Here is a 16,299-nt window from a genome sequence, read left to right on the forward strand (position 1 = left end):
ACACAGATGAGGAGAGATGGAGTGTGCTAGTGACCTCCCCACAGTCAGAGCTTCTTGGTGGTAAGGCCGGCATTACCACCTGGATCTGTTGACTCTGGCTCCAGGGGACATTCTGTGACTCGGGAGAACCCGAGTTGAGACCGACTTCATCCAGGGTGCGATGGGAATCTGCCTGTGTATCCCATAGATGTTTCAGGCTTACCATGTTTTAAATTCAACCCCGATCTCCCATCTTACACCAAGCCCACTCTACCTGCAGCCTTCCCCACCTCAGTTACAGCAATGCCATTCTTTTTTTTTTTATGTGTTTTTGATAAATCTATTCTCCCCCAGCTTTATTGAGCTATAACTGACAAATACAATTATATAAATTTTAGGGGTACAATGTGATGATTTGATAAGTTTATATATTGTGAAATGATTACCATAATCAAGTGAGTTAAGATGTCCCTTGCCTTCTGTGGTTATGTGAAAGGAAAATAAAATCTCTGGGACCTCAAACCCCCTATGGCAAAGGGAAAAGTTAAGTTTGGGAGCTGAGTCATGCAAAAAACAACAATGACAACAAAAAACAAAACCTGCTTTCCTTTTGTTCCTAGACTCATAGCTGCAGGATAGAAGGCCACATACCTCTCCAGGTGGCTTCCCTCACCCTGTGTATTAGTTCATTTTCATGCTGCTGATAAAGACACACCCGAGACTTGGCAATTTACAAAAGAAAGTGGTTTAATTGGACTTACAGTTCCACGTGGCTGGGGAAGCCTCACAATCATGGTGAAGGCAAGGAGGAACAAGTCACATCTTACATGGATGGCAGCAGGCAAACAGAAAATTTGTGCAGGGGAAATCCTCTTTTTAAAACCATCAGATCTCGTGAGACTTATTCCCTGTCAAGAGAATAGCATGGGAAAGTCTTGCCCCCATGATTCAATCACCTTCCACCAGGTCCCTCCCACAACATGTGGGAATTCAAGATGAGATTAGGATGGGGACACAGTCAAACCAGATCACCCTGACAATGTAAGATAACTAACAGCTTATCTTCACGGGTGTGGAACAAAGACAAGACTAGAAATCATCCCTCTGCCCACCCCAAAACAAATGCATATTTGACTTCTTTCTCTACTCTATTTTTATCTTATGTAAAATGCAGATTTACTGAGCATGACAAGAATGCATAATTGACTGTTCCTCTATACCCTCCTCTCACATGTAACATGTGAATTCAGTAAGCACTAATGAAAGTTTCACAAGAATATAACCACTTATCTGGCTACCTACCCACTCTTTTCTTTCCTTTTTCCCCTCCTGCTGCTCTTTCCCCTTTAAATATTGAAGTCTTCAAAACCCTCTTTGGAAAACACATGGGCCACAGATTGGTAACTTGTGTTTCTTTTTCCCAGTGCATCCTCAACCTTGGCAACATGAACCTCTAAATTGATCAAGGCCTGTCTCAGACACTTTTTGGTGTACAATTACCTTCTTTGTGTGTCTGTGTGTGGTGAGAACATTTAAGATCTGCTCTCTCTTAGCAAATCTCAAGTATATAATAATCAGTAACCATAGACACCATGCTGTACAGTAGATTTCCAGAACTTATCTTCTATCTGAAAGTTTGTACCATTTGACCAACCTCTCTCCATTTCTCTCACTCCCCAGGCCCTGACAACCACACCTCTAATCTCTGCTTCTAAGTTTGACTTTTTTAGATTCCAAATGAGTGAGGTCACCCAGTATTTCTTTCTCTGACTCTTTATTTCACTGAACATACTGTGCTCCGGGCTCATCTATGTTGTGTCAAATGATAGGATTTTCTTCTTTCAAGGCTGAATATTATTCTGTTGTGTATATATACTCCATTTTCTGTATTCATCTGTTGACAGACAGATTGATTCTACACCTTGGCTATTGTGAATAGTGCTGCCGTGGACACGGGAGTGCAGATATTTCTTTGAGATACTGATGTTGTTTCCTGTGGATATATATCAGAAGTGGGATTGGTGGATCTCATGGTAGTTCTATTTGTAATTTTTGGAGGAAGCTCCATATTGTTTTCCATAATGGGGTACTAGTTTATGTTTCCACTAACAGCTTAGAAGTGTTCACTTTTCTCCACATCCTTACCAACCCTTGTCATGGCTTGTCTTCTATAGTAGCCATCCTGACATGTATAAGGTGCTGTCTCATTGTGGTATTGATTTGCATTTCCTTGATGGTTCACGATGTTCCACATCTTTTCATGTACTTGTGGGACATTTTGGTGTCTTCTTTGAAAAACGTCTTCAGGTCCTTAAGCCAACTTTGTTTTTTCAGTTACCCAAGTAAGCAAATAAATGAACAAACAAAATCCTTACAGTCATCGTTGTCTCTATTTTTCTCTCACACCCACATTCGATTTGTCATGAAATGCCATGAACTTGACCTGTAAAAATATCCAGAATTTGGCCACTTCTCACCACCCTCACAGCTGTCACCCTGGTCTGAATCACCGTTGACATTTGCATGGATTCTTGCAATGGCCTCCTAATTGGTCTCCCTGCTTCTTCCCTTTGTCCCCAATATAATAGCCAGAGTTATCTTTTTTTTTTAGACAGGGTCTCCCTCTGTCACCCAGGCTGGAGTGCAGTGGCACCATCTCTACTCACTGCAACTTCCACCTCCCCGGTCTCAAACGATCCTCCCACCTCAGCCTCTGGAGTAGCTGGAACCACAGGCAGGCACCAGCATGCCCAGCTATTTATTTTGTATTTTTTGTAGAGGCAGGGTTTTGCCATGTTGCTAGGCTGGTCTCAAACTCCTGGACTCAAGGCATCTGCCCACCTTGGCCTCCCAAAGTGTTGGGATTACAGGTGTGAGCCACCGCACACAGCCCAAGGTGTTTTTGTTTTGTTTTGTTTTGTTTTGTTTTGTTTTGTTTTGTTTTGTTTTTGAGATGGAGTCTCACCTGTTGCCAGGCTGGAGTGCAGTGGCACAAACTTGGCTCACTGCAACCTCCACCCCCCAGGTTCAAGCGATTCTCCTGCCTCAGTCTCCTGAGTAGCTGGGACTACAGGTGCACGCCACCGCACTCAGCTAATTTCTGTAGTTTTAGTACAGACGGGTTTTCACCATGTTGGCCAGGATGGTCTCTATCTCTTGACCTTGTGATCTGCCTGCCTCGGCCTCCTGAAGTGCTGGGATTACTTACAGGCGTGAGCCACTGCGCCCGTCCCAGAGTGATCTTTTAACAGGTGACTTAGATAATAAGTCTCTGCTCAGAACCCTGTACTAGCTCATTTCACTCAGTGTAAAAACTAAAGTTCTTACAACGATGACAAAGTCCTCTTTGTTTGTCCCACCCCATTGCTGTGATGACCTCCAGTAGGAGGAGTAGCTACTACGTGCTTCTAATCTACTCCAGCCACCCCGGCTTCCTTACCACTCCTCCGGCATCTCAGGCACGCCTACTCCAAGGTCTTTGCTCTAGATGTTCCATCTTCTTCAAATGCTCTTTCCTCATATTTTGCTTAGCCAACTCCCTCACCTCCTTCAAGTCTTCTCAGGGTTTGAAGAACTGAGAACTGTTTAACACCACATCCTGCTCCGTATCGTTGCATTCCAATCCTGCACGCCCGATTCTTTTTTTCTACAACCCTTATTTCCTTCTATGTTACTATATACAGGTAACCGGTAAACTGTGCTATTATTCAAATACATATTCTGACCCTCTCAGGAGGATTATCCTTTCCCCACCCCATTGGCCTTGGACATGGCTACATGACTGGGTCTGATTGCTGACATAGAAGCAAAAGCATTGTTACTTGTAGGCAGAAGTTACAGGAGCCAGCATGTGGCTTACCATGTTCTTTATCCTGCCATAATGCCTTTTGCATCTGACTTCTTTCACTTAGCAGTAGTATTTTTGAGTTCACCCATTTTTGAGTTTATGACACCTTGTTCCTTTTCATTGCTGAATAGTATTCCAAAATGTGACTGAACTACAATGTGTTTATTCAGAGTTGCAGATAATGGCTACTCCATCAGGCTGGGTCCTAGAAAGATGACAATCTGTCGCAGAGCTGTAGTTAACCAGTAATTGTCAGGTCTCATGGGTCAGAAATGAACTATTGTGCTAGAAGCCGCTGAGATTTTGCGAACTAACCTAATTGATGCATATCTGTGTTTTCTGCTCATTGATGGATCAGAAGCATATAGAAAGAGTTTGGAGTGTAGCAGGTCTTTAATAAATATTTGTTAAATGAATAGATGCTGAGGAACGTGATTTAAGGAATGGCAGGAATATTCCAGTCTTGAAATATCCTTCCCTCTCTGCTTTCTGAAACTTGAAACTGTAGTATTATAAATTTACCCTTTTAGGATAAGTATTATTACTCATTTTTAACATTATTAGAAGTATGCCATAATTGTTTTAATGAGTGTTTTTAGTATAAATGATGTGTTAAACATGATTTGGGACAAAGAAAACACATGCTAGTAATTGGAAAGAGTGCTAAAAAATTATCTCTCTATTCATCAAATGACTTACAGGTGAATAACTCTTGCTCTAGAAACTGAACCGTAAAAAAATTGGGCCCCTTTTTTAAAAATCATTACACAATTTATCTCTGATTCTCAAACTTCTGTTATCATTAACATTATTTTTTAAGTTTTATAATTTTTTTTTTTTTTGAGGCAGAGTCTCTCTCTGTTGCCCAGGCTGGAGTGCAGTGGCGCAATCTCGGCTCACTGCAACCTCCGCCTCCCAGGTTCAAGCCATTCTCCTGCCTCAGCCTCCCAAGTAGCTGGGATTACAGGCGAGCGCCACCATGCCCAGCTAATTTTTGTATTTTTTAGTAGAGAAGGGGTTTCACCATGTGGGCCAGGCTGGTCTCAAACTCCTGACCTCAGGTGATCGACCTGCCTCTCCTCCCAAAGTGCTGGGATTACAGGTGTGAGCCACCGTGCCCAGCCAAGTTTTATAATTTTAAAGTAGCTTTATTGAGATACAATTTACATACAATAAAATTTGCTAATTTCAGGTATACAGTTCAATGCCCTAAAATAATTTTTTTTACACAGAGTCTTGCTCTGTGGCCCAGGCTGGAGTGTAGTGATGCGATCACAGCTCACTGCAACCTCTGCCTCCCGGGTTCAAGCAGTTCTTGCGCCTCAGCCTCCCAAGTAGCCAGGATTACATGCTGCGCCACCACACCCAGCTAATTTTTTTTTTGTATTTTTAGTAGAGACAGGGTTTTGCCATATTGGCCAGGTTGGTCTTGAACTCCTGTCCTCAAGCTACCCACCCACCTTGGCCTCCCAAAGTACTGCAATTACAGGCATGGGCCACTGCCCGGCCCAGTTAGATAACTTTTGATATTTGTGTGCAGTCATGTAACTTCTACTGCAATCAAAATACAGAATAGCTCCTTCTCCTTATAAAGTTTCATTATAATTCTTTGCAATCAATCTTTCGCAAGCCCCAGCCAAGGGCAACCACTGATCTTCTGTCTCTATACTTTTGCCTTTCTCGAAGTTCATACAAATGGAATTATATAGTCTGAGTCTTTTGATTGTGACTTCTTTCACTTAGCAATAATGTTTTTGAGCTCATCTATGCTTTTGAGTAAATTTTGTTCCTTTTTTTTTTTTTTTTTTATTGCTGAGCAGTATTCCAAAGTGTGGATTATGGGCCGGGTGCGGTGGTTCATGCCTGTAATCCCAGCACTTTTGGAGGCCAAGGCTGGCAGATCATTTGAGGCCAGGAGGTCAAGACCAGCCTGGCCAATATGGTGAAACCCCATCTCTACTAAAAATACAAAAATTAGGCATGGTAGCGCACACCTGTAGTCCCAGCTACTTGGGAGGCTGAGGTAGGAGAATTGCTTGAACCTAGGAGGCAGAGGTTGCAGTGAGCTAAGATTGCACCACTGCACCCCAGCCTGGGCAACAGAACAAGACTCTGTCTCAAAAAAAAAAAAAAAAAAGTATGGATATGCTGAAAAATAAAAAATAATTCCCTAGTCCCCCAGTAACCTTTATTCTACTTTCTCTCCCTGTAAATGTGACTACTCTTGGTCCATCACAACAGTGGAATCATCCAATCTTTGTCCTTTTGTGACTGGCCTATTTCACTTAGCATAGTGTCTTCAGTGTTCACCTATGAGGTATCAAATTCTCATTCTTTTTAAGGCTGAATAATATTTCATTATGTTTGATTCAGGAAGCCAAGAGTTCAAGACTAGCCTGGGCAACATAGTGAGATCCTGTCTCAAAATAAAATTAAGAAAAAATTAGCCGGGCTTGGTGGTGCACACATGTAGTCCCAGTTAGTTGGGAGGCTGAGGTGAGATGATCACTTGAGCCCAGGAGTTCGAGGCTGCAGTGAGCTATGATTGCACCATTGCATTCCAATCTGGGTGACAGAGCAAATTTTCTAAAAATAATAATAATAATAATAATAATTTAATGCAATAAAACCTTAGCACATTGACTAGCATGTATTATGCTCTATATATTATGCATTAGAAATATTTCCAAGGCAGAAATTAAAGAAGAGAACGGGGCAGGATGAAGTATTTTAAGACAGGAGTTATAGGTATCAGTGCCTAGGTGATCATTAGCAATCTTTAATAGAACAGCAAGGTGAATATAATAATAATTAGAACTCCAAGAGAGTAAAAATTGTGTTTTATTCAGTGCTGTCTCCCAGGCTGGAGTGCAGTGGCGCACTCTCGGCTCACTGCAACCTCCACCTCCTGGGTTCAAGCAATTCTCCTGCGTCAGCCTTCTGAGTAGCTGGGATTACAGGTGCCCACCACCTTGCCTGGCTAATTTTTTGTATATTTAGCAGAGACGGGGTTTCCCTATGTCGGCCAGGCTGGTCTCGAACTCCTGACCTCAGGTAATCTGCCCTCCTCGGCCTCCCATAGTGCCGGGATAACAGGCGTGAGTCACCACGCCTGGCCTATTCAGTGCTGTTTTTACAGTGCCATAACAGTACCTAGCACATGGAAGTTATTAAATAAATGCACAGATAGATGAATGAATGAAGCAAGTTTCTGTCTTTCCCAACAGCTGGATGAGGGCATGTATTCTTTTCTCTCTCCTGTTACTGATCAATTTTTTCAAAGTCAACTTTTTATTATTTCAGAATAGCTTACAATGTATAGAAATGGTGTGAAGATGGTATAGAGAATTCCCATATACTCCCTCATCCAGTTTTCTCTGTTGTTAACACCCTGTATTACCGTGGTGATACAGCTGTCAAAATTAAGAAACCGACATTGGTCCATTGTTATTAACTGAACTATAGACTTTATTTAGATTTTACCAGCTTTTCTATTTGTAACCTCTTTTTTTGTTTGTTTTTTTTGAGACAGAGTCTCACTCTGTCGCCCAAGCTGGAGGGCAGTGGCGCCATCTCGGGTCACTGCAAGCTCCGCCTCCCGGGTTCATGCCATTCTCATGCCTCAGCCTCCTGAGTAGGTGGGACTACAGGTGCCTGCCACCACACCTAATTTTTTTTTGTATTTTTAGTAGAGACGGGGTTTCACCATGTTAGCCAGGATGGTCTCGATCTCCTGACCTCGTGATCCTCATGCCTCGGCCTCCCAAATTTCTGGGATTACAGGCATGAGCCACCGCATCTGGCCTGTAACCTCTTTTGTTCCAGGATCCAATCCAGGATGCCACGTTACATGTAGGCATCATGTCTCTTCAGTTCCCTCTGGCCTATGACAGTTCCTTAGTCTTTCCTTGCTTTTTATGACCTTGGAAGTTGTGGTGATCATTCATTTTTGCGAATTAAATCTTAACAGATCTCTTCTCCCTCACTTTGATCATGGCCATGTGGTCCCTTTGGCCTCAGGTGGGACCGCAGCACAGATTCTTCCTCTACTTGCTGGTGTTTATATCAAGTGACACACTCACGCTAGTTTACTCATTTAAAGAAAAAGTTTGGGCTATGCAATGGTTGGCCTCCTGATCTTCCTTGTTCAGCCTTATTTTGGGTTGTATAAAATTGGCATGCATGGCCAGGCACAGTGCCTCATGCCTGTAATCTCAGCACTTTGAGAGGCTGAAGCAGGTGGATCACGACGTCAGGAGATCGAGACCATCCTGGCCAACATGATGAAACCCTGTCTCTACTAAAAATACAAAAATTAGCCAGCTGTAATCCCAATTAGTGCCTGTAATCCCAGCTACTCGGGAGGCTGAGGCAGGAGAATCGCTTGAACTCAGGAGGCAGAGGCTGCAGTGAGCCGAGATCACGCCACTGCACTCCAGCCTGGGTGACAGAGCAAGACTCTGTATAGGTAAAGGAAAAAAAAAAAGGAATCTTCAGTCATCAGAATGTATGTTCAGTTAACCATCTACTATGAGGATTGAAAAGTGCCTTAAAGGTCGTATAATGTAGTCTCTAGGATAAATCATATCCACACACTATCCAAGCAGAACCACTTATGCTGAAATTTTATCTGCAGTTTGTGTCTGACTCCTCTCACAGGTCATTGATTAAATAGGTTTTTTGGAAAACCCACACATTTTATACTTGGGTTATAAATCACATGAAACCATCAGATCTGAAGGTAAAAAGTGCATGTTAGATTTGAGGAAATACAAGACTTATTACACAATGGCTATACTATTTAAATCTCAAAATGTAGGTGTGGAAAACTTGTTAAGATGCAAAAGGCTATATTGGTCAACTCAGGCTGCCATAGACTGGGTGATTTAAACAATAGACATTTATTTCTCACAGTTCTGGAGGCTAGAAATTCAAGATCAGGGTGCCATTATGGTTGGATTCTGGTGAGGGCTGTCTTCCTGGCTTGCAGATGGCCTGCTTTCTTACAGTGGCCTCACTTGGCAGAGAGAGAGAAAGAGAGATTGGAAATGATTTATGGGCAAGCCCATGATAGGTGTTCAAAATGTACACTGAAGGCATGAATTATGTCAACAAGGTCATTTCACATTTACAATTAAAGACCTACTCATTCTAATTCTTTTGTTTTTGTATTGTCAAAGAGGTTTTGAAATGCTTTTATTTTTGAAGAAGTAATAAGTTCGCATAGGAAAAACAGCTCCATTTGGAATGATTATCTTTTGTTTCTGTAATTGTCACCTGGGTGCTGGGATTTTCACGAAATCGGGGCTTTGCCCTGACTTCCAGTCTGGCTTGGGGGGATGGTTACTAACCTTGTGGATCAGTTCCCACCTGCAAGGACCATTAGCTCTGTCAGGGTACCACTTCTCCCCATCTCCTGCCCTCCTACCCTTGGTCTATGTACTACTGAATTCCTTTTCTGACAATGGCATTGAGGGAGATTAATGTATAAGAGAGAGGCTGGGTGCAGTGGCTCACACCTATAATCTCAACACTTTGAGGCCAGTGGATCACCTGAGATCAGGAGTTCAAGTCCAGCCCGTCCAACATGGTGAAACCCTGTCTCTACTAAAAATACAAAAATTAGCCAGGCGTGGTGGTGTGTACTTGTAATCCCAGCTACTGGGCTGAGGCAGGAGAATAACTTGAACCTGGGAGGTGGAAGTTGCAGTGAGCCCAGATCGCTTCATTTCACTCCAGCCTGGGCAACAGAGTGAGATTCTGTCTCAAAAAAACCATATATATATATATATATATATATATATATATATATATATATATACACACACACATATATATGTATATATATATATGTGAACTTATTACTTCTTCAAAAATAAAAGCATTTCAAAACCTCCTTGACAATAAAAAAACAAAAAAACATATATATATATATGACAATGCTAGCTGTCCTAGAAAAAATTCTGGGCAATGTCATTTTAGATAATACCATCAATGGATCTGTCATTCTTGAACACAAGTTTAAACTCTTTTCAAAGTTGATTTAAGTGTCATCTTTTGATACCAAAGAGAGGCATATGTCACCTGGCTGCCACATTAAACAAAATAAATTGCACCCTCCAGATATTCATTTAATAAAAACAAGTGCCTGCTTTGTTCACAGCATGAGATAGGTGCTGACAGAATTCAACGATCAGGAAGGTCCATTCTAAAAGAGTGAATAGACTAGCTAGAGGTATAATAAAGTTACATAGAAATTCTAGAACAAATAAAAACTTACATGTTCCTTTAGAGAGGTACAGGAATGTGTTCTGTGCATACATATGAAAGTTTTATTGTCATCTATATATTTTAAGGCAATTTTTGATTTTACAAAAGAATCTGTCGTAGGATTCCTCTAAATGAAAACCTTCCTGATTGAATTAAAACTGTCAGGAGGCTGGGCAAGGTGGCTCATGCCTATAATCCCAGCACTTTGGGAGGCTGAGACAGGTGGATCATCTGAGGTCAGGGGTTTGAGGTCAGCCTGGCCAACATGGTAAAACCCTGTTTCTACTAAAAATACAAAAATTAGGCGGGCATGGTGGCGGGTGGCTGTAATGCCAGTTACTCGGGAGGCTCAGGCAAGAGAGTCACTTAAACCCAGGAGGTGGAGGTTGCAGTGAGCCAAGATTGTGCCACTGCACTCCAGCCTGGGTGACAGAGCGAGATTCTGTCTCAAAAACAAAAACAAAACAAACCTGTCACTTGACCTACCACAAATGAATTTACATGCAGCCCTTTGGCCATGTGTTTACTGGCTAAAAGATGTCACTCCATAACCTCCTTTTATTTGTCTCCAAATTACAATGAGTTTAAGTGATAATTAATGTTAAGCAGCACCTAAAAAAGGCAGAATCCCAAGGTTGGAGGGGGTCACTAAACAGAGATTTCCATTTAGAAAAACAAAACAAAACAAATTCCTGTTCTCTATCTGAGAGCAGCTCCTAAACATGCAGACAAGACTTGACCTCATTCTCCTGTGTGTCTTTTCTGAAAAAATTCCTTTGTGCTCAGGGATATTGTGAGAAATAGAATTACATCAGTGAGTTGGTTTCTAATCAGCATGTGAACACCAAGTTCCAGATGGCAACGCACAGTTTCAATTTCACTATGTGCTGAAATTATTTATCGATCCCTATTAAATAGCCAGCAGCACCATATTCTGGACTAGACTTCAATAATTCTAAATGATTCAATCTGCTTTGTAAATATGGCTGCTGCAACCCGACTGTGACATTTCTGGGATGGCATTTCATTCTGTTTTGCCTCAGTGTATTCACAGGTGGCCAGTTCTTATTTACAGATAGAAACCTTCCACCTCGCTTCCTCCTTAAGATCTGTTAAGATGTGTTGAAGCTTTGAGAGTTCAGACCAGTCTCAATAATAGCAGAGATGCTGGTCTGGCAGCTGATGTCCCACTGGCTGTAGATCCCAATGAACATGAAGCTAAGAAAGTCAGCCCTGAGTATTGGGGAAACAGAGAAAGACAAGCAGGGTGGATGTGTGGTGGAGGAGGAAGGAATGAGGACGGTTCAGAACTTCGGGACAGATCAGGGCAGCCAGCTCACAGCATCAGGCCGGTGCTCAGATCTGTAGCAGTCAGTGCTCAAGGACAGACAGGGAGGCGTCTGGATCCAGGTGGTGGCAAGCTCATTAATTCATTTAAAAAACACTGATTGGGCATTGTCTTAGTCCATTTGTGTGGCGATAAAGGAATACTTGAGGCTGGGTAATTTATTTAAAAAGAGGTTTATCTGGCTCACAATTCTGGTGGCTGGAAGACTGGGCTTCTGGGGAAAACCTCAGGCTGATTCCACTCATAGTGGAAGGCAAAGGGGAGCACGTGTGTGCAGAGATCACATGGCAAGACAGGAAGCAAGAGAGAGCAGGAAGGTGCCAGGCTCTTTTTTTTTTTTCTTTTAATCTTGAAACAGTCTCACTCTATTGCCCAGCTGGAGTGCAATGGCGCGATCTTGGCTCACTGCAACCTCCACTTCCCAGGTTCAAGCAATTCTCCTGCCTCAGCCTCCCAAGTAGCTGGGACTACAGGCGTACGCCATCACGCCTGGCTGATTTTTGTATTTTTATTAGAGACAGGGTTTCACCGTGTTAGCCAAGATAGTCTTGATCTCCTGACCTCGTGATTCACCTGCCTTGGCCTCCCAAAGTGCTGGGATTACAGGCATGAGCCACCGCGCCTGGCCTGGGCTCTTTTTTAATAACCAGTTCTCCTGGAAACTAATGCCGCACCCTGGGCATTAATCTATTCATGATGGATCCGCCTTCGTGACCCAAACACCTGTTAGGCCCCGCCTCCAGCACTGGGATCAAATTTCAACACGAGGTTTGGGAGGGCAAATAGCCAAACCATAATAGGCACCTACTAAGTTCAGAGAAATATCTAGAGTCCAGGCAGATCAAGTCAAGACGCAGGGATCAGGAAACAAGGTTGCAGAAGTCAAGGAACAAGCCAAAGAGCTCTGCCAATAAATCCAGGATGAGGTCTCCGTAAATTCGTGTCAATTTCCATGGTAACTATCCCCAGGAAGCTTGCCATTTGGAGCAGGATTTCTCAAATAGTGGCCTCTAGATTTACAGCGTCACAATTTTGCTGGGTAAAGGGAGAATAGTGAAGCATGAAAAAAATGCAGATTCTAGTGTCGCAACCCAGACAGACTGAATCAGAATCCCTGAGGATTCTGAATTTCCAAGAAAATAAAGCCACTCACTTCCCATTGGGATTCTTCTGCAGCCTTTTGAGAACCACAGGTTTATAGGGATCTTTCAGTGACTTTGTTTTGGAAAATGAAAAAAAAAAATTTGAAAAAGCAGCTGCTGGAGTTTGGACAAAAGCTCAAATTTAAAAAGAATTCCCATAACCTCTTCATTAGATTTCTCTATCGGCACCACGGCAGTCATCGTTTACGTTACCGACACTGAACTTGTGAAATAAAGTGATGCTGGAAACGAGTCTGGAAGCCTGGCCCTCTGCACCCTCCTCCCAGTCAGAAGTACCTTTTTGTGAAGTGACACAATGTCCTGGTGAGACCGGCCCTTCCTGGAGGCAAGGACTTATGTTTTGCATATCTCTGTATGCCCCGCCTCTAACCCATGGCTAGAATATCGCAGAGGCTCAATCAATAATCAGTTAGCTCTGCTTTACAACCCAGCCCAAAATTCAGTGGCTTAAAACAGCTGTCTTGCTTTTGCTCAGGAGCTGTGAGCCAGCTGGCGTGGGTTGATCTACACTTGGTTCAGCTGAGGTTAGCTGTCAGCCACAGGTTGGGTCCATCTCTGCTCCACGTGTCTTGCATTGCCCTTGAACTAGCAGGCCAGCTAGGGCATGTTCTTCTCCTGGAAATGGCAGAAACCCAAGAGGGAAAAGTAAAATACATTGTAGCCTCTGAAAGTTTATGCACAGAACCAGCAAACCATCACTTTTGCCCCCATTCACTTAGGCAGAGGCAGTTACACGGCTAAGCCTGATGTTATGAGTAGGGGCAGTTTACATCTTGAGTGGAAGGAACTGCAAATTTACGTGGTAGAAATTATGGATTTAAGGAGGGATGAAAAATTGGGGACAATAGTTCAATCTACCACTGCTAGTAAATTTATGATCAAAAGCAACTTTTTGTATTTGCTGGAGGGCAGAATTCGGAAAATGGGGATGCAGGACAGTTTCAAGGTGACAGTGAATTACCAGCATCATAGATTCATTAGGAGGCTTAATATAATACTAATTACCAGCTCTATGTGCTGATGAAGACTGCTTTTGATAATTCGTAACATTTGACATTCTTTCATAAGCCAAATAGAAGAATATCGAAGGCCAATTGTAGTTTTACACACAGTAAGTAAACAAAAGAATACTCAGTCCTCACATTTTGCAACTCTGTGGGATTTGTGTGAGCAGTGAAAAGTTGTGGCTGCCCGCAATCACACATCTCCCCTGGAGAATTGAAGTGAAATCCCAGCCCTCATGTAGTTATGCCTAGAAATTACCTGTTTGTGATTTAACACTTGGTAAATGGCACTAAAACCTCATTAATCTTCAATTAGCCATAAATGGGCATCTCACATCTTACTACAGTTTCTTCATCCTGAGAAATCATTAGTCCTTTCTGGGCAAGGGCAATTATGTGAACAGGCAGAAAGCTCATCGCATAGCTTAAGTGCAGGTCTCCAGTCCATAATGGTACTTAAGACGTGGGGGCTGCCTGTGATTCTTGATTGATGCCGTGTGATAGCCTGGGCCTATTCCATCACGCCGTGATCCTCAGCACGCCTCCATCCCCAGGCTGCTTTTATCAGCTTGAGTGTTCCAAAAATCCCACTTCCTTGATTACTTCAGAGGACTGTTGCAAGGATAGAAAGGGTATGTCTGTTATTATTGGATCAGGATGTGTGTGTGTGTGTGAGGTGGGAGAAATCTGAGTCCCTGAATCCCCTGGAAATAAGAAATTGAAAATGCATATATATTCAGAATTTAAGGTATAAAAGGTAGAACTCTCCTTTAATCCAGTAGCACAAAATCCTCAATGTTCCTTGCATCTCTTGTGAACTCGATGGCCCTTGAATGACCTAATACATGTCTTGGTCCATCTTTTGTTTTTTGAGATAGGGTCTCTCTCTGTCACCCAGGTTGTAGTGCAGTGGTGTGACCACAGCTCATTGCAGCTTCAACCTCCTGGGCTGAAGCGATCCTCCTACCTCAGCAGGGAGTCCCTCAGCTACTCAGGAGGCTGAGGTAGGAGGAAGTTACATGGCCAAGCCTGAAGTTATGAGTTGGGGCAGTTTACATCTTGAGTGGAAGGAACTGCAAATTTACACAGTAGAAATTATAGATTTAAGGAGGGATGAACAACTGGGGCCAATACGGGACTGCCTGTAGTCCCTCAGCTACTCAGGAGGCTCAGGTGCTAACGATGTGCACCACCTCAGCCTGTAGGGACTGCAGGCATGCACCACCATGCCTGGCTAATTTTTATATTTTTTTGTTGTAGAGAGAGGATCATCTTATGTGCTCAGGCTGGTCTCAAACTCCTGGGCTCAAGCCATCCGCCTACCTCAGCCTCTCAATTGCTGGGACTGCAGGTGTGAGCCACTGCATCTGGCCCTTGTTCCATCTTTATGGCTTTTAAAACATCTTCTGAACACTTAGAACTTGCAGCCCTTATTGTTACAGTGCTGTGTGTGTGTGTGTGTGTGTGTGTGTGTGTGTGTTTCCTACCTGGCTTCCAGAAACCCAGCTCCTAAAGAGAAGTCCCCCAGCCCCTTCTGCTGCCAGCTGTTCTCTGCTGCGGGCCTGTCTTCATCAGGTGTTCCATTGACAGATGCTGCTTTTCTCCCCTCAGACCACCAGGGATGGCTCTACGGTTGCATCCACTGGAGATCAATTGAAGTTGGTCTGGATCTCACAAATGGAGTCCCTTTGCCACTGTGTCTATGAAGGATTCTGACTGCTGCTTTCACCAGTTTTCAGCACCACTAAAACACTTTGTTTCCTAATTAAGCTGTTTCCAGGTCTTTCCTGTCTCACAGTGGAAAATGACCTCTGGGCCATCCCTAGGAAAAAACATGTGTTACCACTGAGGTTTTTCCTGCATCAGACTGCATTAACCTCAAGAGCTCATGCTTGGATCATCATCCTTTTAAGGCAACTAAAATTCAAGTTCATTAACTATCCCATTCTATTCTGGCTCATTCTGCAGTTGGTCAACCTTGTTCTTTCTTAGAGCAGATACCCTCACCTCTTTCCTTGTGACCATGGGTATTGAGGGGAAGTTCTCTACAGATGGAATCTTTCTTTAGCATTATTTAGTGGGTTTGTATTCTCTTGTAAGTCTTTTTATCCCCTCTCCATTAAAAAGCAGCTTGAGCTATGTGTACGTGGTGAATTCATCACAGTGTTCTGGCAGGATTTCCAAATACAGGGAAAGGTGATTATAAAACAATTCCTTATGTGATAAACTTGGATAGACCGCCCACAGACACATTTTTGATTGTCAATGCTAATTGGGACAAGAAAGAACATGGGTAATTGAAATTCTCTGCTATCCCACAAATGCTATTTTAGTTGCTCTGGTGGTTTTTTAATGTGTCAGTTTAGCTTGGTTGAATTACATTTCCCAAAATTACCTTTCCTATTGGTTTTTGGTTGGGATGGGCCACAAAACAGATTCTTCCAGGAGATTTGCGGGGAGCAAGGAAAGTTGCAGCCATTGTGTAGCTCACACACCTTGTCACTCATCTCCTGGCTCACCTTGTTCGCATGAGGCAGGGGTCAGGCCTGCAACTGCTCCACCCTCCCAAGCCTGCCTCAGCTTCTCCCACTCCTGGGTATGTGTTGAGCTCTTGGATGGTGTTGGTTACTGCAGGACGTTCAAGGTCACCATCAAGCTCAGATGCAGCAAGAACTGAAAAAGACTTCG

This window comes from Homo sapiens, chromosome 4 (genome assembly GCF_000001405.40).
Source record: "Homo sapiens chromosome 4, GRCh38.p14 Primary Assembly".
Lineage (NCBI taxonomy): Eukaryota > Metazoa > Chordata > Mammalia > Primates > Hominidae > Homo > Homo sapiens.